Source organism: Homo sapiens, chromosome 10 (assembly GCF_000001405.40).
Source record: "Homo sapiens chromosome 10, GRCh38.p14 Primary Assembly".
Taxonomy (NCBI): domain Eukaryota; kingdom Metazoa; phylum Chordata; class Mammalia; order Primates; family Hominidae; genus Homo; species Homo sapiens.
The window spans coordinates 68,164,030-68,184,007 of record NC_000010.11 but is presented as its reverse complement, the minus strand read 5'-3'; the positions used below and the strand labels follow the sequence as shown (position 1 = coordinate 68,184,007).

The 19,978-nt window shown below is 42.3% G+C and overlaps 1 protein-coding gene across 12 annotated transcripts in view; it reads right to left on the bottom strand.

Moving 5' to 3' along the window:
• MYPN (myopalladin) overlaps positions 1–19,978 on the bottom strand; it is a 124,121-nt gene that overhangs the window by 28,010 nt on the left and 76,133 nt on the right. For 11 of the 12 annotated variants that reach the window (NR_045662.4, XM_047425879.1, XM_017016834.3 and 8 more), the window contains 4 exons: positions 18,190–18,306; positions 17,342–17,714; positions 9,352–9,942; positions 8,547–8,685 (listed from right to left, as the gene is read on the bottom strand). Coding sequence is in view for 10 of the 12 variants with exons in the window: in XM_047425879.1 (XP_047281835.1) it covers positions 8,547–8,685; positions 9,352–9,942; positions 17,342–17,714; positions 18,190–18,306 (1,220 nt within the window). In the remaining 2 variants the exon portion in view is untranslated. The remainder of the gene's footprint in view (positions 1–8,546; positions 8,686–9,351; positions 9,943–17,341; positions 17,715–18,189; positions 18,307–19,978) is intronic. The other variant, NR_045663.4, reaches the window with a different exon arrangement.

Sequence of the window (19,978 nt, the reverse complement as noted above, 5' to 3'; positions counted from 1 at the left end):
CTCTGTCACCCAGGCTGGAGTGCAATGACATGATCACAGCTCACTGTAGCCTCAACTCCCTGGGTTCAAGCAGTCCTCCCATCTTGGCCTCCCAAGTAGCAGAGACCACAGGTATGCACCATCATGCCCAGCTAATTTTTAATTTTTTTTCTAGGGATGAGGTCTCCCTATATTGCCCAGGCTGGTCTTGAACTGGGCTCAAGCAATCCTCCCACTTTGGCTTCCCAGAGTGTTGGGATTACAGGCCTAAGCCACTGTACCTGGCCTTTGGGGGTTTTCAATAAGCAAGAGGTCTTAACCTTCTATGGCTTCTTATCTTGTTTTATTATGTCCTCAAATTTCCAATCCATCCATACCACCTCTAGCCCCTATTCTAACAGAGTTCTTGCTACAAGCTAAAGAACCTTTTCTGCAGCTTCTATTGCCTGACTGGGGAGAACTGGTAAGTTCTTGGCTAACTACACTGTTAGAGTTATTACAGGGAAAGATGAATTCCTGAAATTCTGTATTATGAACTATTTTTTTTTCCAAATAATTTTTTTTTTTGAGACAAGGTCTGGCTCTACTGCCCAGGCTGGAGTGCAGCGGTGTGATCTTGGCTCCTTGCAAACTTTGCCTCCTGGGCGCAAGCCATCTTCCCACCTCAGCCTCCCGAATAGCTGGGACAACAGGCACACAGCACCCCCACACCTAGCTAATTTTTGTATTTTTTGTAGATGGGGTTTCGCCATGTTGTCCAGGCTGGTCTTGAACTCCTAAGCTCAAGCAATCCGCCCGCCTCAGCCTCCCAAAGTTCTGGGATTACAGGCGTGAGTCACCGTGCCTGGCCGCAGAGAAATATTATTATACATGGTGGTAAGTTATGATTATACTTATACTTCAGAAATACAATGGGTTATATATAGCTTTAAGCACCTGCCTGAGAATATAAATACCACATTGTCTCTATGTATTCCAAACAAACAATTTTAGGAACTTGATTTTAAGTTGGGGCCTGATTTTACAGAATTTAAATGTTTGAATTGATTTAGCCAAAGGAACTACAGAAGCAATATGATGAAAATATGTGCATTTTATTTGACTATAAATGTGTATAGTAAATACACACTTGGCTATAAATTTATTATCTTAACCAGTACTCCAAGTTGAGAGGTCATGAAAACAGAGAACTCAATGAGTTTTTAAAAATATACTATTAGAGACCGGGCGTGGTGGCTCATGCCTATAATCCCAGCACTTTGGGTGGCTGAGGCAGGTGGATCACCTGAGGTCAGGAGTTTGGGACCAGCCAGTCCAATGGGGTGAAACCTCGTCTCTACTAAAAATACAAAAAAGTAGCCAGGCATGGTGGCGAGTGCCTGTAGTCCCAGATACTCAGGAGGCTGAGGCATGAGAATCACTTGAACCCGGGAGGCACAGGTTGCAGTGAGCCGAGATCATGCCACTGCACTCCAGCCTGGGCGACAAAGTAAAACTCCATCTCAAAAAAAAAAATGCCATATATATATATGTGTGTGTGTGTGTGTGTGTGTGTGTATATATGTTATATATATATGTTATATATATGTTATATATATGTGTTATATATATGTTATATATATGTGTTATATATATGTTATATATGTGTTATATATGTTATATATATGTGTTATATATATGTTATATATGTGTGTGTTATATATATGTTATATATATGTGTGTGTTATATATATGTTATATATATATGTGTGTTATATATATGTTATATATATATGTGTGTTATATATATGTTATATATATATGTGTTATATATATATATAACATTAGTAACCAGGTAGTGAGGATACACTTGTAACTAGATTGTAATCAGAAGTTTCTACTGAGGCACCAAGATGGGCTAGATATCAGAAAACAAGTGACTTTTGAGACACATTATTATTCAGAAATTTCAAAGCAGGTGCTTAAGGACAGCTTAGATGATTTCAACCTTTTACCTTCATCACAGACTCAAGAGTCAGGAGGGAGAAGACCCAGCAAGAGGACTTTGGAGAGAGCCATTAATGTCTGTGAGATGCCTACCTCCACCCCTAACCCTGGGGTACTTGTTTCACCTCAAGTTTAGCGAGGGAGATTAAATGGACCCTCTTGGAGAGGGTCCAGGGTCCATCGGAGAGCTTGGAGAGCTTGCTATGCCTCCTACAGTTAGGAGGACACAGGGGTTTGCCATCTGCCCCCTGCCTGAGAAATCTAAAGAGTGAGGAGCAAGCTTGGCTTTTTGCTGATGGGCAAAGTGGAAGGCTGCCTTGACAGTGTGTCAGGGCAGAGGGTGTGCTGTGGTTCCCATCATGCATCTGTAGGCCACAGACAAAACAAAGTCAATGTGGCATCAGCTTAGGTCCTTTCAAGATCAAGAAAGGAAGGAATCAGGAGCAGAAGTTAGGCCGGGCATGGTGGCTCATGCCTGTAATCCCAGCACTTTGGGAGGCTGAGGTAGGTGGATCACTTGAGGTCAAGAGTTCGAGACCAGCCTGGCCAGCATGGTGAAACCCCATCTCTACTACAAATACAAAAGTTAGCCAGGCATGGTGGCGAGCACCTGCAGTCCCAGCTACTCAGGAGGCTGAGGCAGGAGAATCTTGAACCTAGGAGGCGGAGATTGCAGTGAGCCGAGATCATGCCACTGCAATTCAGCCTGGGCAACAGAGCAAGACTCCATCTCAAAAAAAAAAATTAAAATTAAATGTAAAGGTATTTTCTGCACTGTTCTGCACAAATGTTTCACTATCAATCCACTGTTTGTAAATGTCCATTTTAAATGTCCAGTACTGGGTTTATGCCGTGTTCTCCATTTTCCCTTGCCTCATCTCCTTTGTGAGTAAAAACAGGAGTTTTTGTGTTAGCTGCTCATAGATGACGTCTACACTCAAAGGAAAGAATATTTTTTCTGTGTAAATCTGGGTGTTATAGAAATTAAATCAATGAGAAATGACCCATCCTCTCTAGGCTAATGAATTGCATAGAATTAGAGTTGCTTTATGAAAGGAAATGAAAAGCTAAAAATATTTACTTCAGAAGAATATGCCACTTGAAAATATAACCATTTTTTTAAAAAAGATAATCCTCTTCAGGCTGATAAATTGACAACTTGAAACATTTGATTTCTGGGACACATCAGCAAAAAGTTTCTTCAAATTGGCAGTTCCTTCCAATTGGTGGAGACAGTTTTTCTGTTGCGAACCATAATGTAATGATGCATCCTAATTGGATATGGCACTGCTGAGGTATGGGCCATGATCCAACAGTCACTGCCTGAGCTCACCGCGGGCTTTCTCTACTCTGGGTCCTGAGCCTGGACTTCAGGGGCAAATAATCAAACAGGATCAAGCCAGCTAGAAGACCTGCTCAAAGTGTTCCCAACAGATTCTGGGTATGATGTGCAGTAAAAGAAAGCACTGTGTGTTAGAGAAAGTGTTCTCCTTTTCTTTCCAGAGACAGACAGAGTTTAGAGACAGAAGAAAGGATTCTTAAATAAACTTGGAGGTAGGCCGGGCACAGTGGCCCACGCCTGTAATCCTAGCACTTTGGGAGGCTAAGGCGGGTGGATCGCTTGAGCTCAGGAGTTCAAGACCAGCCTGGGCAAAATGGTGAAACCCTATCTCTACAAATAACACAAAAATTAGCCACGAGTAGTGGCACGTGCCTGTAGTCCCATCTACTTGGAGGTCTCAGGTGGGAGAATTGCTTGAGCCTGGGAGCTGAAGGTTGCAGTGAGCAGAGAATGCGCCACTGCATTCTGCACTCCAGCCTGGGTGACAGAAACTTGGAGGTTAACATAACTAGAAGATAATTTATTTTGCCATTTATCTAACATCACTTGTTGCCTTCAGTAGAAATAACTAGTTATCATAGCCTACCCTGTCTCTGCTGCCAAATTCTTAGTAAGTACCTATTATGTGCTAAACACTGTGATAGACAATGGGGATACAACATTCTGCAAAACACAGACTCTACCTTCAAGGAGCTTACCTAAAAATACTTTCAATCCAATTTTGTACTTAAGAATAAAGAATTATTAAAAGATGCACAGATTTACTTTATACTTAAATGTTTGGTTAACACAAGAGTTTTGTTTAATTTCTGTGTGTTTTTAAAAGATTTCATCTTGGCGAAACCTCCTCTCTATTAAAAAAACTACAAATAAGCAGGGTGTGGTGGCTTGCACCTGTAGACCCAGCCACTGGGGGTAGGGCTGAGGTGGGAGGATCACTTGAGCCCGAGAAGTCAAGGCTGCAATGAGTGGAGATCGCACCACTGCACTCCAGCCTGGGTGACAGAGTGATACTCTGTCTCAAAAAAATAAAAAAGTTTTCATCTTTTAAAATCAGCTAATTAAGTTGGATTGTTACCATAGTGGGTAGTATCCATAATGAGGTATAATCAGAATCTATATAGTCAAGTGAACTATTTTCCATAGTTTTGCAACAAATCCAAACTTTTCTACTTGGTTAACAGTTTTATTACCTTTTCTGAAACTAATGTAAATCCCATAGTCGTGGGTTGATTCAGCAATGTTCACTGAGCACCTACTCTGCACCATGCACAACAGGGATGCAGCAATGAACAAGACACCGCCCAGTCTGAGCCCCCAGGTTGCTCCTGACTGGTGCATTCTGTGTGGGTCCATGGCAGAGGATACAGAGACACTTCACTATCCCAGCAGCCAAGGTCCTGAAATGCCCAAAGTGGGCAGCATAAAGCCAGTGGCCTTACAAAGTAGAATGTAAGGCCAATGTGAAATTCTTGTTAGAAAGGGAATGAATGGCATGACTATTCACGGCTCACAAAAGAGGATTGTCATAAAGAATTCATGGTAAGAGATGAAAGAGGAAAGACTTAAATAGAAGAACTGACAGAACAGTTCAGAGAAGAAGGAGATTAGAGGAACAAAAGGCAGAACAAAAATTAGGAGGTACTTATTTTTTTTTCCTCTGTCACGTAGGGCAGTATCTGGAAACTGCAGATAGTTTAAAAGAAACATTAATAATAATAATAAAAAGCAGGGGGTGTGAGAGGACCAAATAACGAGATGGGAAAGTTTCCAGAGAAATGAGGTCAAGGAGGAAAGTTGGAATAAGACATTAGCTGGGGGTAGAGGGGTGGGAAATGGAGATTAGAAATTAACACTCAGTCAACATAGCTAGTCAACAAATATTTACTGGGTGCAGAACTTCATGCTAAGTCATGTATGAATTAAAATCATTTGTCATGAAAGCTCCATTATGCTTTGTGATCCTGGATTCCTTTTTTTTTTTTTTTGAGGCAGAGTCTCGCTCTGTCACCCAGACTGGAGCTCAATGGCATGATCTCGGCTCACTGCAACCTCCACCTCCTGGGTTCAAGTGATTCTCCTGCTTCAGCCTCCCGAGTAGTTGGGACTACAGGCACCCACTGCCAAACCCATCTAATTTTTGTATGTTTAGTAGAGACGGGGTTTCACTGTTGGCCAGGCTGGTCTTGAATTCCTGACCTCAAGTGATCCGCCTGTCTCGGCCTCCCAAAGTGCTAGGATTACAAGCCTGAGCCACCATGCCCGGCCGTGATCCTGGATTCCTTTGACTTTTCAGATTCACCATTCTAACCTAAACCATTTAGGATTTATTGATGTCCAGTCAAGATCCACTGGTGATGAATGGTACTCTTCAAAATAGCAAATGATGCAGCCTAAAAATCTAGAAATAAGGAAACCTTTCTCTTGGCTCATCCCCAACTCAAAGACACTTTGTTGTAAGTTTAGAAAGCTAAAAATTTTAATAAATATGAGCCTCTGAAAGGATGGCACCTTCTCATTTCAAAAGGTTCTAAGAATCTACAAATGTTACTTGCTAATTGTAAATACGTAAGATGAGTTAAAAGGCAAAGACTGAACTATCACAACAGAGAAACACAAAGTGGTAGATACATCAAAGAAAACACATTTTAAAACATAATTTATAAATTTGAGTTCTGGGGAGAAAATTGTTTATAGTCAGTAATATTCATTGTTCAAGGACTTCTGATTTATTTTCATGCTCAGCACAATGTGTTAATGCTAGATCATGCAAATGTTCTAGGACAGTGTATTCTTTATTTACTTAGAACTAAAATAGGGCAAGAGAACCCAGCTTTCTGGACCTAAAAGTTTTCAAAGCAAAACAAATGCATACTCTTCCGAAGGAATCATTTGCACCCCATTCCCACATGTGTAGGCTAATATGGGAATGAGAACACAGATTATTTTCATTCCTGTGACCCCGGACTGCAGGCCTAGACGACTATCAATACACAGGGGTCTCTTCATAATCTTTCTCTGCTTGTCTAGTGTTTTTACACTTTCCTAAGCTGACTTTCTTCTTAACTTCACCAGCGTGGGTCACAGTATATTTTAGACAGTTCTTCATGATGTTTTTACTATCATTTCCGAAGACAGCAATGGATAAAACAATATTATAATATGATCATCATTTTATTTCCCAAAACTTCCTCAGAGTCAACATCTGCCATCCAAATGCAAGCATTCCATCTCAGACAGCTCCCAGTTTCCCAAATTTCATTTATGCAGCTTGGATTTCATTATCCATGGCATGGAATGTAGTCTAAGATCAATTCTGTAATTAACCAACTGCAATAATTCTCAGAATAATAATTCTCAGGAGAATGACATATGTCACAAATATTCAGAGGAGAGTGTTGAGGTGCTTTTAGAGACTTTCCTAGTTCCTGCGATTAGTCCAGAAGTTAATTCATGATGGAGGTTTAAGAGAGATTTCTACTGGGTTTATGGCATTCAACTTGTGGAATTTCACGTTTACATGTACACACATGTCAGGTAACTAAGAGAAAAACCCTTCTTTCCCCTGAGCTGGGCAATGGGGTATCCTGGATCTACCTACAGAGTAACTATAAAAGTAAAATCAAACAGCGTATGTGCAAGCTAGCATTGTTTTTACAAGGCTCTAATTGCTCTCTCTCCGAGTTGTAAAAGACATAGGCTGAATACAGCTATAATTACAATGACACTTAGAAGGATTAACAACCACAAGTGTGGTGACAGTATTATAGGAAAACAAATCTGCATTAGACAGAGCAACATGTATAGAGCTTGAAGGTAACTGTTCTGTAAAACTGAAAACACTGCAGCGTTTCAGGGAAAATGTGAGAGTATCCTAGAAACCATAGCTCTAGTTCTAGTTCCACTACTGAGCCTGTGCCTTAGTTTCTCTGTCTAGAAGATGGAAGAGAAGAATAGTAGCGTTGGCATTTGCCTCCCAGAAATAGATGAAATTTGGTGAAATAATCCATGAAAAGTATACTCAGTTATGGCAAGTTTAAATATTCTCCTTAATAATTTTAAGTGAATTTTTAAAAGATTTTAAGAAGCACATTTTCAAAAGAATCCACTCAGTATAAGTTGCTCAATATATAACACAATTGCGAATTACTATATATCCATGGCTCCACTGGAAGTAAGAGACAGAAACACTAAGGAAAACAGCATATGGTCTGGGAAGTCGAGAGCTTTGTTTCTAGGAGTCCACAAATTCCACAATATTTGGCATACTGTACTGACTGAAATTTTGTAATATTTTTATCAGTTCCAATCTTGGGAAATAAACCAAGAGTTAGATTATTATAATGTAAACCTGCATTAAAAATAACCACTGGATTCTCAAAAGCAAAAATAAATGCCTCAAATAAGAAAACGTTCAGTCTATCTTTCTTTTGTTTGAATGATGCTCACAGGTGGCTTTCCTCTTTTTCCTTTGGTGTAAGCATTTACTAGAAAGCAAAGAGTTGTATAGGATGAACAACAGGATGTTGCCTAATGGCTATTTCACATGATTCAACCTAATATAAGGATTGAGAGGTACTGGTGATCAAACTTTTAAGCACATTAGATTGAAGATTAGACAGCTTAGAACCCCAGAATTCCTTAAAGTCTAGGTCATAGGCTGGGTGTGGTGTCTTATGCCTGTAATCCCAGCACTTTGGAAGGCTGAGGCAGGAGGATTGCTTGAGCCCAGGAGTTTGAGACAAGGCTGGGCAACATGGCAAGACCCCTGTCTCTACAAAAAATTAAAAAAATTAGCTGGGCCTGTAGTCTCAGCTACTTGGGAAGCTAAGGCAAGAGGAACACTTGAGCCCAGGAGGTCAAGGTTGCAGTGAACCGTGATCATACCACTGCACCCCAGCCTGGGTGACAGATCGAGACCTGTTTCAAAAAAGTTTAGATTGTAAACTGAGGTGAGGATTGCTGGGATGCGCAATAGATTGTCTACTCTCTTCTTTAATATATCCTATTCTGGGTAAATACATGTAAACAAGTAAACTGAGTTAACTACTGGGAGAATTACGAACCGCAGATCCACACAGGCAGGTTTCTCACATGACCTTTGGTTAGTCTGTGCTCTACCATCTGAGCTGCAACATCAGCCTCACTGAGGTTACCTGAGTATCCGAGGACTGAATCAAGCAAAATTAAATTCCTTACAATAAAATTTCAATAAACCTTCTAAATCCAACAATCTTACCTGCTGGTTTGGTCTGACATCACTGAAAGTTATTTTTTTCCCCAAGTCTCGAATCACTGCGTTCTTAGTTTCACGAATGTTATCATCATTCACTGGTTGAGGAGACTTTGTATTTTTCTTCGCTAATCCCTGGGATGGCCTGTAAGATAAATCCACACCTGACACACCCATGAAAAGCACTGGCCAGGGTAAAAAGGCCTAGAAATCAGAGTGGTTGAAATGACAACCAGAAACCAGCGGTCATTAGGCACTTAGGGAATTAAGCCCTGTGCAGAGAATCGGTATTTGTAAAGGTCTTTTTGATACTTTAATTTAAAAAATTTTTTTTTTGAGACAGAGTCTCTGTCATCCAGGCTGGAGTGCAGTGGTGTGATCTCGGCTCACTGCAACCTCCGCCTCTTGGGTTCAATGATTCTCCTGCCTCAGCCTCCTGAGTAGCTGGGATTACAGGCATGCACCAACACGCCCAGCTAATTTTTTGTGCTTCTCCTAGAGACGGGGGTTTCACCATGTTGCCCAGGCTGCTGTCAAACACCAGAACTCAAGTGATCTGCCTTCCTCGGCCTCCCAAAGTGCTGGGATTACAGGCATGAGTTACCACACCTAGCCTGATATTTTAATTATTAATAATCATTCAAAGTAATCATCCCCTTTGTCCTGAAGTGTTCCACATCCATTCTGTGCCTAAGAGAATAAGATTATCTAGGAATCCACAAAATGAGAGCCCTGTTTCAGATCAAGCTATTCAATGTGCACATCGACTCTTAACTAGCATCTTACATCAAGAAACCTCAATGACACTTACATGGATGGTGCACTTCTAGGCAGCCCCATGGCATTTGTGGGTGGGATGGCAGGGAGAGAAGGCAGAACAGAGCTGAGGAAAGCCACTGGGTTCTGAATCCGGCTGGTAGGAGAGACAGGAATTGGGGACACACAGCGGGGCTGAAACTGGTTTCCGCTGGGGATGGAAAATGTGAATGGTGGTGGTGTTGGTTCTGTTGGGCCTGGTGGGAGTGGCTCATTTTGGATGGAAAGCCCTCCTGGAGATTTGGTTTGCACAGAGGGGTGAGACACTAAGAGGCTTTCTTTGCTCACTGTCCTCTGAATAGTTTGAGGAGTGCTGCTCAAAGTGAACACCGGAGAGCTGGAAGGGGCCACAGTTGCTGCGGTGGTGTTCGTGGAGGGGAAGAAATACTTCGGCCGGGCCAAGCTGAACGTCTGTGATGAAGGAGCCTTCACCTGCTTACTGGATGTTGTCACCGCTGGGGGAGCATTGGAGTTCAAAACAGTCATGCTGAAAGGAAACTCCTTAGGAGATGAAGGAGGTGGGTTTTGCAATTGGTGTTGTTCCAGTAAGACTTGGTTATGAAGCTGTTGTAACTGAGTGGAATCACTGTACACAAAACAAGGGTGGAGAGAGAGAAGGAAATGTGTTATTATTGGCCTCACCTTTCAAACAATGTTCAGACAGACTGTTTATAACTTGATGATAGGCGGGGCATGGTGGCTCATGCCTGTAATCCCAGCACTTTGGGAGGCGGAGACAGGTGGATCACTTGAGTCCAGGAGTTTGAGACCAGCCTGGGCAACATGGTGAAACCCCGTCTCTAACAAAAAAAAAAAAAATTATATATACATATATATTAGCCAGACATGGTGGTGCACGCCTGTAGCCCCAGCTACTCAGGAGGCTGTGGTGGGAGGATTGCTTTAGTGATCCCAGGAGGATCCCAGGAAGATCACTTGAGATCCCAGGCTTGAGCCTGGAGGCGGAGATTGCAGTGAGTCCTGATCTTGCCACCTCACTCCAGCTTCAGTGACAGAGTGAGACTCATCTCAATAAATAAATAAATAAATAAATAAATAAATAAATAAATAAATAAAATAACTTGATGTTGATAAAGAACACACAACCAGAGTGGCAAGAAATCAGCTGATCAATAATTGGTGAGTTTGTCTTTCCTTCTTTCCAAGGGCGTCCTTCACACTGTATTCTTTGTATTGCGACCTTGGAGTTGTGCAACAAAGAGTTTATAAATTGGAAAAGAGAAATAGAGACAATGTTTCTCTTGTAGGCAGTGCTCAAAGTTCTGATGACCAGAGGAAAGTATCCCAGCTTCAGAACAGAAGGCACTGAGCTACATGCCAGTGTGAGTTACTGAAAAGGGCTGAATTCTCCATGAGAACATGCTGTATTCTCCACTCTGCCTTGTTTTAGAGCCGACCTTAACAAAGAAGCCGGATGTGTCTCAGAGAGGTTTCTCATTCTCTCGCGATAACAAACCTTTATAGATAAGGTGACCATATGTCCCCATACATTCAGGAAGGTCCTGGTTTAACATCTTTTCCTGGCATCATTATTTTTGTTTTTGTTTTTCTTTTTTTTGAGACAGAGTCTCACTCTGTTGCCCAGGCTGGAGTGCAGTAGTGCGATCTTGGCTCACTGCAACCTCTGCCTCCTGGGTTCAAGTGATTCTTGTGCTTCAGCCTCCCAAGTAGCTGGGACCACAGGTGTCTGCCACCATGCCCGGCTAATTTTTGTATTTTTAGTAGAGACAGGGTTTCACCATTTTGGCCAGGCTGGTCTTGAACTCCTGACCTCAAATGATCTGCCCGTCTTGGCCTCCCAAACTGGTGGGATTACAGGCGCGAGCCACCGTGCCCGGCCCTGACATCATTATTAATAGAACTCACTTTCACTCTCAGAAATGTCCTAATTTGAATGATGATTATATGCTCACCCTGATTATAAACCTTGCCTTAGACTTTTATTGTTCCTAAAAGGAGAAAGATCAAACTGGAAGCAGTTTCTCCATTTATAGAACCTGAGTCACAGAGGCATCACGTGATTTGCCTTAATGGTCCATTGAATTCAATGGTCTATTGAATTTCTCTTCACAAAAGAGTTATTTTTTAACAAAGAAAGTGCAACAAAAATGTCTTAAAATCATATATGCATAAAGTCATTAAGGCTGTCAAACTTTGATGTTTAGGAGAATCTACTGTTGAATGAGTAACCACGGGAAGACCCATAAGTGAGATCACAGTGCTTCAGGACCACTAATTATATGTTCTTTATTCTATTTTTATTTATTTAATTATTTTAGGCAGAGTCTTACTCTGTCACCTAGGCTGGAGTACAGTGGCACAATCACGGCTCACTGTAGCCCCAACCTCCTGAGTTCAAGTGATCCTCCTGCCTTAGCCTCCCAAGTAGCTGGGACCACAGGTGCGTGCCTCCACACCCAGCAATTTTTTATATTTTTTGTAGAGTTGGGGGTCTCGTCATGTTGCCCAGGCTGGTCTCAAACTCCTGAGCTCAAGCAATTTGCCCGCCTTGGCCTCCAAAAGTGCTAGAATTACAGGCAAGCGCCTTGCTGGTTTTATGTTCTTTGGAAATATGTGTTGCTTTTGGGACACAAAGACTCTGCATTATAAGGAATATAAAAGAAATTATTAAGGATTTTGAATTCTTAAGATAAAATGCCAGACAACCAACTTGAGATACTGTATCAAGTACTTTTGAAAGCAGTTTTGGCAATGACAATTTCTGGCAGTGTGTGCTGGAGCCAGTTCACTGGCTTTGAAGAACAGGTAGTGCACATCTCAACTACCCATTCGATGACTTTCTCTTAGTAGCTTGAAATTGGTGCAAATGCTAAAAATCAGGGCTTTCTCACCCCTGTCAGTCATTAAACATTTGCCAGTGCATCACTGACTTGGAAAACTAGTTCTGAGTAAATCTGCTGTGGTTTTAGCAGTAGTCACTGTGCTGGTTGCACATTTGAATCACCTGGAGACTGTAAAAGACAAATGAACCTTGCTGCTTTAGGCACCTGCTCAGAGTTAATTTACCTGGGATGGAATTCAGACAGAGTTATTATTATCTTTTCAAATGTAGGTCAGTCATTCTCAAACTTTACTGGGCCTCAGAATCCTCTGGAGGGCCTGTTAAAACACAGGTTTCTGGCCCCCATCCCCAGAGTTTCTCATTCGGCAGGTGTAGGGTGGGGCCTGGGAGTCTGCATTCCAACCAAGCTTCCAGGTGATGCTGATGCAGCGGGTCTGCCAACCACAAAGCCCCAGGTGATTCTCACAGTCATCCAGGACTGAGAACTGCTGCCCTAAAGAAACATTTGGCCCCAAAGCATAGGCTTTCCTAGTATATTCTGACTTTTGTCTGACATTATCTCACTTTTAAATGTTAATTATTGTGTTTTCCTGGGTATAGCGGGTGGGTGGTAGGGAGTGGGGAATAGTAGCAACTCTCAGGGTTATTTCTTTTTTCTTTCTTTCTTTCTTTTTTTTTTTTGACAGAGTCTTGCTCTGTTACCCAGGCTGGAGTGCAGTGGCATGATCTCAGCTCACTGCAACCTCTGCCTCCTAGATTCAAACGATTCTCCTGCCTCAGCCTCCTAAGTAGCTGGGATGACAGGCATGCACCACCATGCCTGGCTAATTTTTGTATTTTTAGTAGAGACGGGGTTTCACCATGTTGGCCAGGGTAGTCTAGAACTCCTGACCTCAAGTGATCCACCTGCCTTGGCCTCCTAAAGTGCTGGGATTACAGGCTTGAGCCACCATGCCCGGCCGGGGTTATTTCTCTAACTCTAGACCAGTGATTTCCAAACTGGCTGCACATTAAAATAATCTGTGGAGAGATTCTGATTCAATTGAGTTGGAGGGCATAAATGTTTTTTAAAAGCTCCACATTTTATTCTAGAGTGTAGCCAGGGTGAGGAATCACTGCTCTAGACAGCTTAATATTCAATCTGAAATTTCAAAGTCAGGCTTTGATGATACAAGGTTTAAAAATGACAGCTTCCCTTTCTGTAGCAATTTTAAGATCTACATTATCTCTATTTTCCATATGAATAGCAAATTGAAGGAACAAGCAGAAAATTGTATCCTTGAGAAGACTGAGTCAATATATTTTAATGCAAAGTTGTGAGGTTAAACTAATGAGGTTAAAACTAGTAAGAAAAGGTTGTAGGCATGTAGATTTACAAAGGGTGTGGTGTATGTGTATGTGGTGTGAATATATATATTCATATCTATACTAATGTAAACATATACATATATACAAGAGAAAAGGAAGGCAAAGAATATTAAAGAATTATATAGTGCTGAGAACTATGTTTTTAGAGGGTGTCACTACATGATTTAGTAGAAAGACGTCTTATATTAATTGGAAGTCTCATGTGGCAGGCACTGCTGTCTACTTAATTCCCCCCTTGTAAAAGAACCCGATTTTGTTCATGGTGGCAATATGTGCAGCTAGGGACTGTACTTCCAGCCTCCTTTGCAACTAGTGTCCCATCTGCCTAAATTCTGGCCAAAGAGGCAGAAGCAGATTTTGGTTGAAACCTCTAAGAAGTCTCCTTAGAAGGGATTCTAACATCAAGAGTGTGACTTTTGTCTGGGTGCGGTGGGTGGCTCACACCTGTAATCCCAGCACTTTGGGAGGCCAAGGTGGGTAGATCACAGGGTCAGGCATTTGAGACCAGCCTTGCCAACATGGTGAAACTCCTTCTTTGCTAAAAATACAAAAATTATCCAGGCGTGGTGGTGTGCACCTGTAATCACAGGTACTCGGGAGGCTGAGGCAGGAGGATTGCTTGAACCCGGAAGGCAGAAGTTGCAGTGAGCTGAGATCACGCCAGTGCACTCCAGCCTGGGTGACAGAGCAAGACTCCATCTTGGAGAAAAAAAAAAAAAGGCTATGACTTCTGCCCATTGTCCCTTCTGACTGCCTGAACTGTAGATGTGGTGACTTGACCACCATCAGCCGTCTTGGACCATGAGGGGACCTGGAGAAGAAGCCAGTGTTTGGGATGGCAGAGCAGAAAGACAGAAGGAGACTGGATTCTTAATGACCATGGAACCCACATCACAGCCCCAGACTCCCTGTCTACTTTATGTGAGAGAAAATAAACCCTCAAGTATTTAAACCCTGTTAGTTTGGGTTGTCTGCAAAGTGAAGCTCAACTTAATCCTAACCGACGTACCTGAGGACTGAACTCTGACCTTTTTCCATGCTCAAATCCTATTCTAAGGGGCCTAGAGAGAGAAGTCACTTCTTTTTTTTTTTTTTTTAATTTGAGACGGAGTCTCACTCTGTTGCCCAGGCTGGAGTGCAGTAACGCGATCTTGGCCCACTGCAAGCTCCACCTCCTGGGTTCACGCCATTCTCCCGCCTCAGCCTCCCAAGTAGCTGGGACTACAGGCGCCCGCCACAACACCTGGCTAATTTTTTTTTTTTTTTTTTTTTTTTTTTAGTAGAGACGGAGTTTCACCGTGTTAACCAGGATGGTCTCGATCTCCTGAACTCGTGATCCGCCCGCCTTGGCCTCCCAAAGTGCTGGGATTACAGGCATGAGCCACCATGCCTGGCCGGAAAGTCACTTCTACAAGCCATAAAATCTCATGAAACAGGTCTTTTTTTTTTTTTTTTTTTTTTTTTTTTTAAGAAATAATCTCATTCTGTCGCCCACGCTGGAGTGCAGTGGCGCGATCTTGGTTCACTGCAACCTCTGTGCCTGGGTTCAAGCAATTCTCCCACCTCAGCCTCCTGAGTAGCTGGGATTAAAGGCACGCGCCACCACACCTGGCTAATTTGAAACAGGCCTTTTTGACCCCGTGTATGGTGGTTTTCTTTTCATCCCGACTCTGGCATGGCATCACATGACAAACAGCGGATTCCCTTATTTTAACTTGAACAATCCTTTCTACTGACTCCAAGTTTTCAGACAAAACTTAACTCTTTCAATTGCCAGCCATAGAATCCCCAGCCCCACCTATGACTGGTAAGTCCCTGCTTTGAGATGTTCTGCCTTTTTGGGCCAAACCAATGTTTGTCTTCTTGTATTGATTTATGATTTTACCTGCAATTCTTGTCTTCCTGAAACGCATAAAACCAAACCGCAACCTGACTGCCTTGGGTGCACTTTCTCAGGACCTCTGGAGACTGTATTTCCCTGGGCCGCAGTCACTCATATTGACTTAGAATAAACCTCTTTAAATATTTTGGCAGAATTTTTTTTCCATCATCATATGTAACGGCCCCTAAAACTGTTACTGGGGAAGAGACAGTCCTACAAAGGAGGCAATTCCCCAGGAGGTTGTTTGGGGTTACCTGTTCCCTGTAACTCCCTTCTCTGAGAACTTCTCCCACCCAGTTTCTTCCAAACATAAATCCTCTAACAGTTGAGTGTACTGGGGAGGGGGCAGGAGGTCACCTGATCAGCCTGAACCAAATAGAATTGGGAGTTGAGGGGCTGAGACTGATTTAGTTAACAGTGGTACTTGACACAGATCATGATGTGGAATGGGGACATGGCCATGATGGGCCACTTATGAGCTGATGGGTCTTCAAAGAGAGAAGAATGGATCAGATAAGTAAAGAGGAAACAAGGAGATGCTCACGTAGACAGAGGGCGAACCAGCCGCGCAAGCTCCATCAGACAGAGGCTGGACTGACCTGTGATCCTGAGTGACAGGTGAAAAGGCCCAGTTCCCGCCTCTCTAGTTCTTCTCCTGCAGGATTTGGTTGTGTTTGGTTTACCCATTTCTGCCTATATCCCTGCAATAACCTCTTCCCCTCTTTTTACTTTAAGTGGATTCCTGTTTCCTGTGACTGACAGGACTTTGAGGGGACTGACATTTCTGGATGTGACTTGCTTAGAGGCATGTTTCACAACATTGAATCTTATGTCCAGAATTTTGCCTTATATAGTGGTGAGCAGAATATGAAACTAAACACGAATGGCTTCTAGTGAACATCTCATGGTGATGAGCAACACACAGTGGGTGCACTGGGACTGTAGATTTTGATGTTGATATTTAAAGGTTTCTGTAATTAGAAACAATTTTTTTATCATTTTGATGTGTGGATGAAACAGGAAATAATAGCAATATCATGCCCTTTATTTGCTTTGTTATGGATGGACATTTTAAACATTGCAACATGGCTTTCTAGAGAGTCAGGGCAACAACCACAGTAGGCTCCTGAGTTGAGTCAGAAAATCATGACCACTTATTCATCCTATTATATTCATCCAGCTGCAGCTAGGAACTATCTAAAAATTACTAAATAGTTTTTCCATAATGACTACAGAAGCTTAAGTTGAAGCAGAAATGGGAAATATAAGGATGAAATTACAGACTGTAAAGACGATTAGACACAAAAAAAGTCTTTATGAGAGAAGCACAGAAGTACTTTACCTGGGGACTCTGATGTCAGAATGTCAGACAAATGTTTCTGAATTAGTTTAAGTGCAACATTGCTTGGAGGTAGATTATTAATTAAGGATAATAGTGATAGCATGCTTCTATTGATGTAAGGATGTACATTTGGCAAAACATTTAATGTGTATTTTCTCATTTGGGAATTCCCCTTTTTGGTTCCATCTTTTTTTTTCCTGGACAAGTCTTGCTCTGTCACCCAGGCTGGGGTACAGTGGCACGATCACAGCTCACTGTAGCCTGAAACTCCTAGGCTCAAGTGATCCTCCTGCCTCTGTCTCCCACGTAGCTAGGACTATAGGTGTGCACCACCATGCCTGCTAATTTTTTTACTTTAAAATTTTTCTTTTAGAGACAGAGGTCTCACTATTTTTCCCCGGCTGGTCTCGAATTCCTGGGCTCAAGCGATCCTCCTGCCTCAGCCTCCCAAAGTGCTCGGATTACAGGTGTGAGCAACTGTGCCTAGCTGAGTTCCATTACTTTTAAGGAGATCAGATTCAAGAAAAGATCACAGAAGCTCCTGGTTATTCATCCTACTTTTTACTTACAGTTTGGGTTTGGCCAGAACTGGAGGGGGCTCTTTCACGGGGGAAGAAGGCTCTGGGGTTTTTGTTGCCTGTCCGTTGAACCTCTCCTGGAAAGAATCGGGCCTGGTCTGTCTGGTGGTCACCACACCAGCCTCGGAGGATGCTTCACTTCCTTTGTCATCTTCAGGCAGGTTGAAGTGCACACGAAGCCCAATCCTGGAGCTGGACCGGGGCTCATTGTGGTTCACCAGAACCCCCTCGAGTTTGGGTTTGGGGGGTTGTTCCACAGATGGAGGCTCTGAGTGGGGTGGGGAGGGCTGTGGCTCAATAGCTGCCAGGTTGGTGGTAGAGTTGGCTGAGTGAAGAGACCCGTTGTTGCTGAGGTCCTCATTTCCTGAAAGGACAATCACAGGACCTGAGCTGTCAGCCACTGTAAGCCTGAATTGGGGCATGTGCACAAATGGGAAAGTGTTCACACCAGAGGAATGTATGAATGGGAAAATGCTTGTCAAAAACAGATCATCATCTGGGCATTAAAGAATGGTAAGGATACAGGAAAAAATTAAATTAAAAATAAAAAACTAAATTTAAAATCTAAGTACCCTTTTGGAAAGAAATTTAGAAATTTATTGAGGAGATGTTCTCAGGAAATATAGTGATGACAGCAGGTTAACTGGGGTGGTGGCTGTAAGCGCAATAAGAAGTTGAAAATTGGACACTGTTCAAGAACATTTTCCTCAATAATTCAAATCTTTTTAGAAGAGCCAAGCCAGCTTTGTATGAAAAACAGGAAGGAATGGAAACACAAAATCTGCATATTCACACTCAAAGTCATAGGCTAAACTGTTCTAGCATTAAAGAGTCCTTACCTCTCACGTGCAGCTGTGCAATGCTTGACACTGTGCCGTATTTGTTGCTTGCAGTACATGTGAAGCACCCAGAATCTTCTGCAAACACCTCAGCAATGACCAAGGTGCAAATCTCCTCTATATGCCAGTGAAACAGAATGGTTACTGACTTCATTATGAAAACAGAATTATAGAATTTACTGGTATCAGATGATGATTCTACAAAGTCAATATAAAAAGCTGGCTATATTAATTCTTTGAAAACAATTGGTCAAAACAATTGTTTGATTGAATTGACTGATTAGTAGGCAAAATGAGTCAAAGAATGTAGAAACAATAACTCCATGCAGACAGGCCAAGTACTGACAAGGGGATTTTTTTGTTTTTTTAGGTGGAGTCTCGCTCTGTTGCCCAGGCTGGAGCGCAGTGGCAAGATCTCGGCTCACTGCAACCTCCGCCTCCCAGGTTCAAGCGATTCTCCTACCTCAGCCTCCCGAGTAGCTGGGACTACAGGCATGTGCCACCAAGCCCGGCTAATTTTTGTATTTTTAGTAGAGATAGGGTTTTGCCATGTTGGCAGACTGGTCTCAAACTCCTGACCTCAGGTGATCTGCCCGCCTTGGCCTCCCAGAGTCCTGGGATTACAGGCGTGAGCCCCCATGCCCGGCCTGACAAGGGGATTTTGTAAAAATAAGGATTCTCAGATAATCTTCTATTTTTATGTCATCAGTACAGATGGCAAAAATAGAAATGTATAACAATAAACTTAAAAAATCACAAAAACAAATTAGGAGTCAAAGGAAAAGGAAGTTTCTGTGAAATTAAAGGACTAATAAAACATTTTCTAAGCCTAGATCTCTCACTATTTCCTTGGGGAACTTTTGCATTGAAATTATTTTAAACAAGGACCACAATTTAAAATTGGACAACAAATAAATATTTTGCTTTACTAGTAGTAATGAGCTGATAGAGTAACTTGAAATTCTGTGTGAAAGAAGAGTGAAATGCATTTCTACTTTTGTATTACTGTGGTAATTCTTATGGATTACTCTGATACACTGTGAACGATGATTCTCTGTGAATAACTACAGAGGTGATTCCCAGGTAGAACCACATGATTACAGTCCAAAATTATTAAAGTTAGATATTCCTTGACAGCTAATAAAGAGGAGGTATAAGACAGCAGCATAAACCTCCAGTTATCACTCCATTGAACTGACATTAAAAACAAAATTATTAAAAAATAGTTGCATTAGGAGAAACTTGGCAGGCATCTCAGTGCTTCATGATAATTGAATTGAATTAACTAGACTGTTTCTAGGAAATCTGGCCAGTGGGGCATGGCAGGTAGTATTGAGTATTGCTATTTGAACATGTCCCCCAATGCTCATGTGCTGGAAACAATCCCCAATGCTTCAGTGCTGGGATGTGGAGCCTAAAGGGAGGTGTTTAGGTCATGATGCCTCTGCCCTAATAAATGGATACATGTTGTTATCTTGGGAGTGGGTTCGTCATGAAAGTAAGAGTGGCCCCCTCTCTCCCTCCCTTCTCTTGCGCATTTGCTCTCTTGCCCTTCTGCCTTCTGCCATGGAATGGCACAGCATGAAGGCCCTCACCAGATGCAGGCCCCTTGATCTTGGGCTTTCCAGCCTCCAGAACTGTAAGAAATAAATCCCTGTTCTTTATTAAAAATCACCCAGTTTCAGGTATTCGGTCACAGCAGCACACAGTGGACCAAGCAAGTACCTACTCAGTAACTCTTCATCCTCCTACCTCCTTGTTGATAGAACCCTGGCTTTGTCTACTCTAC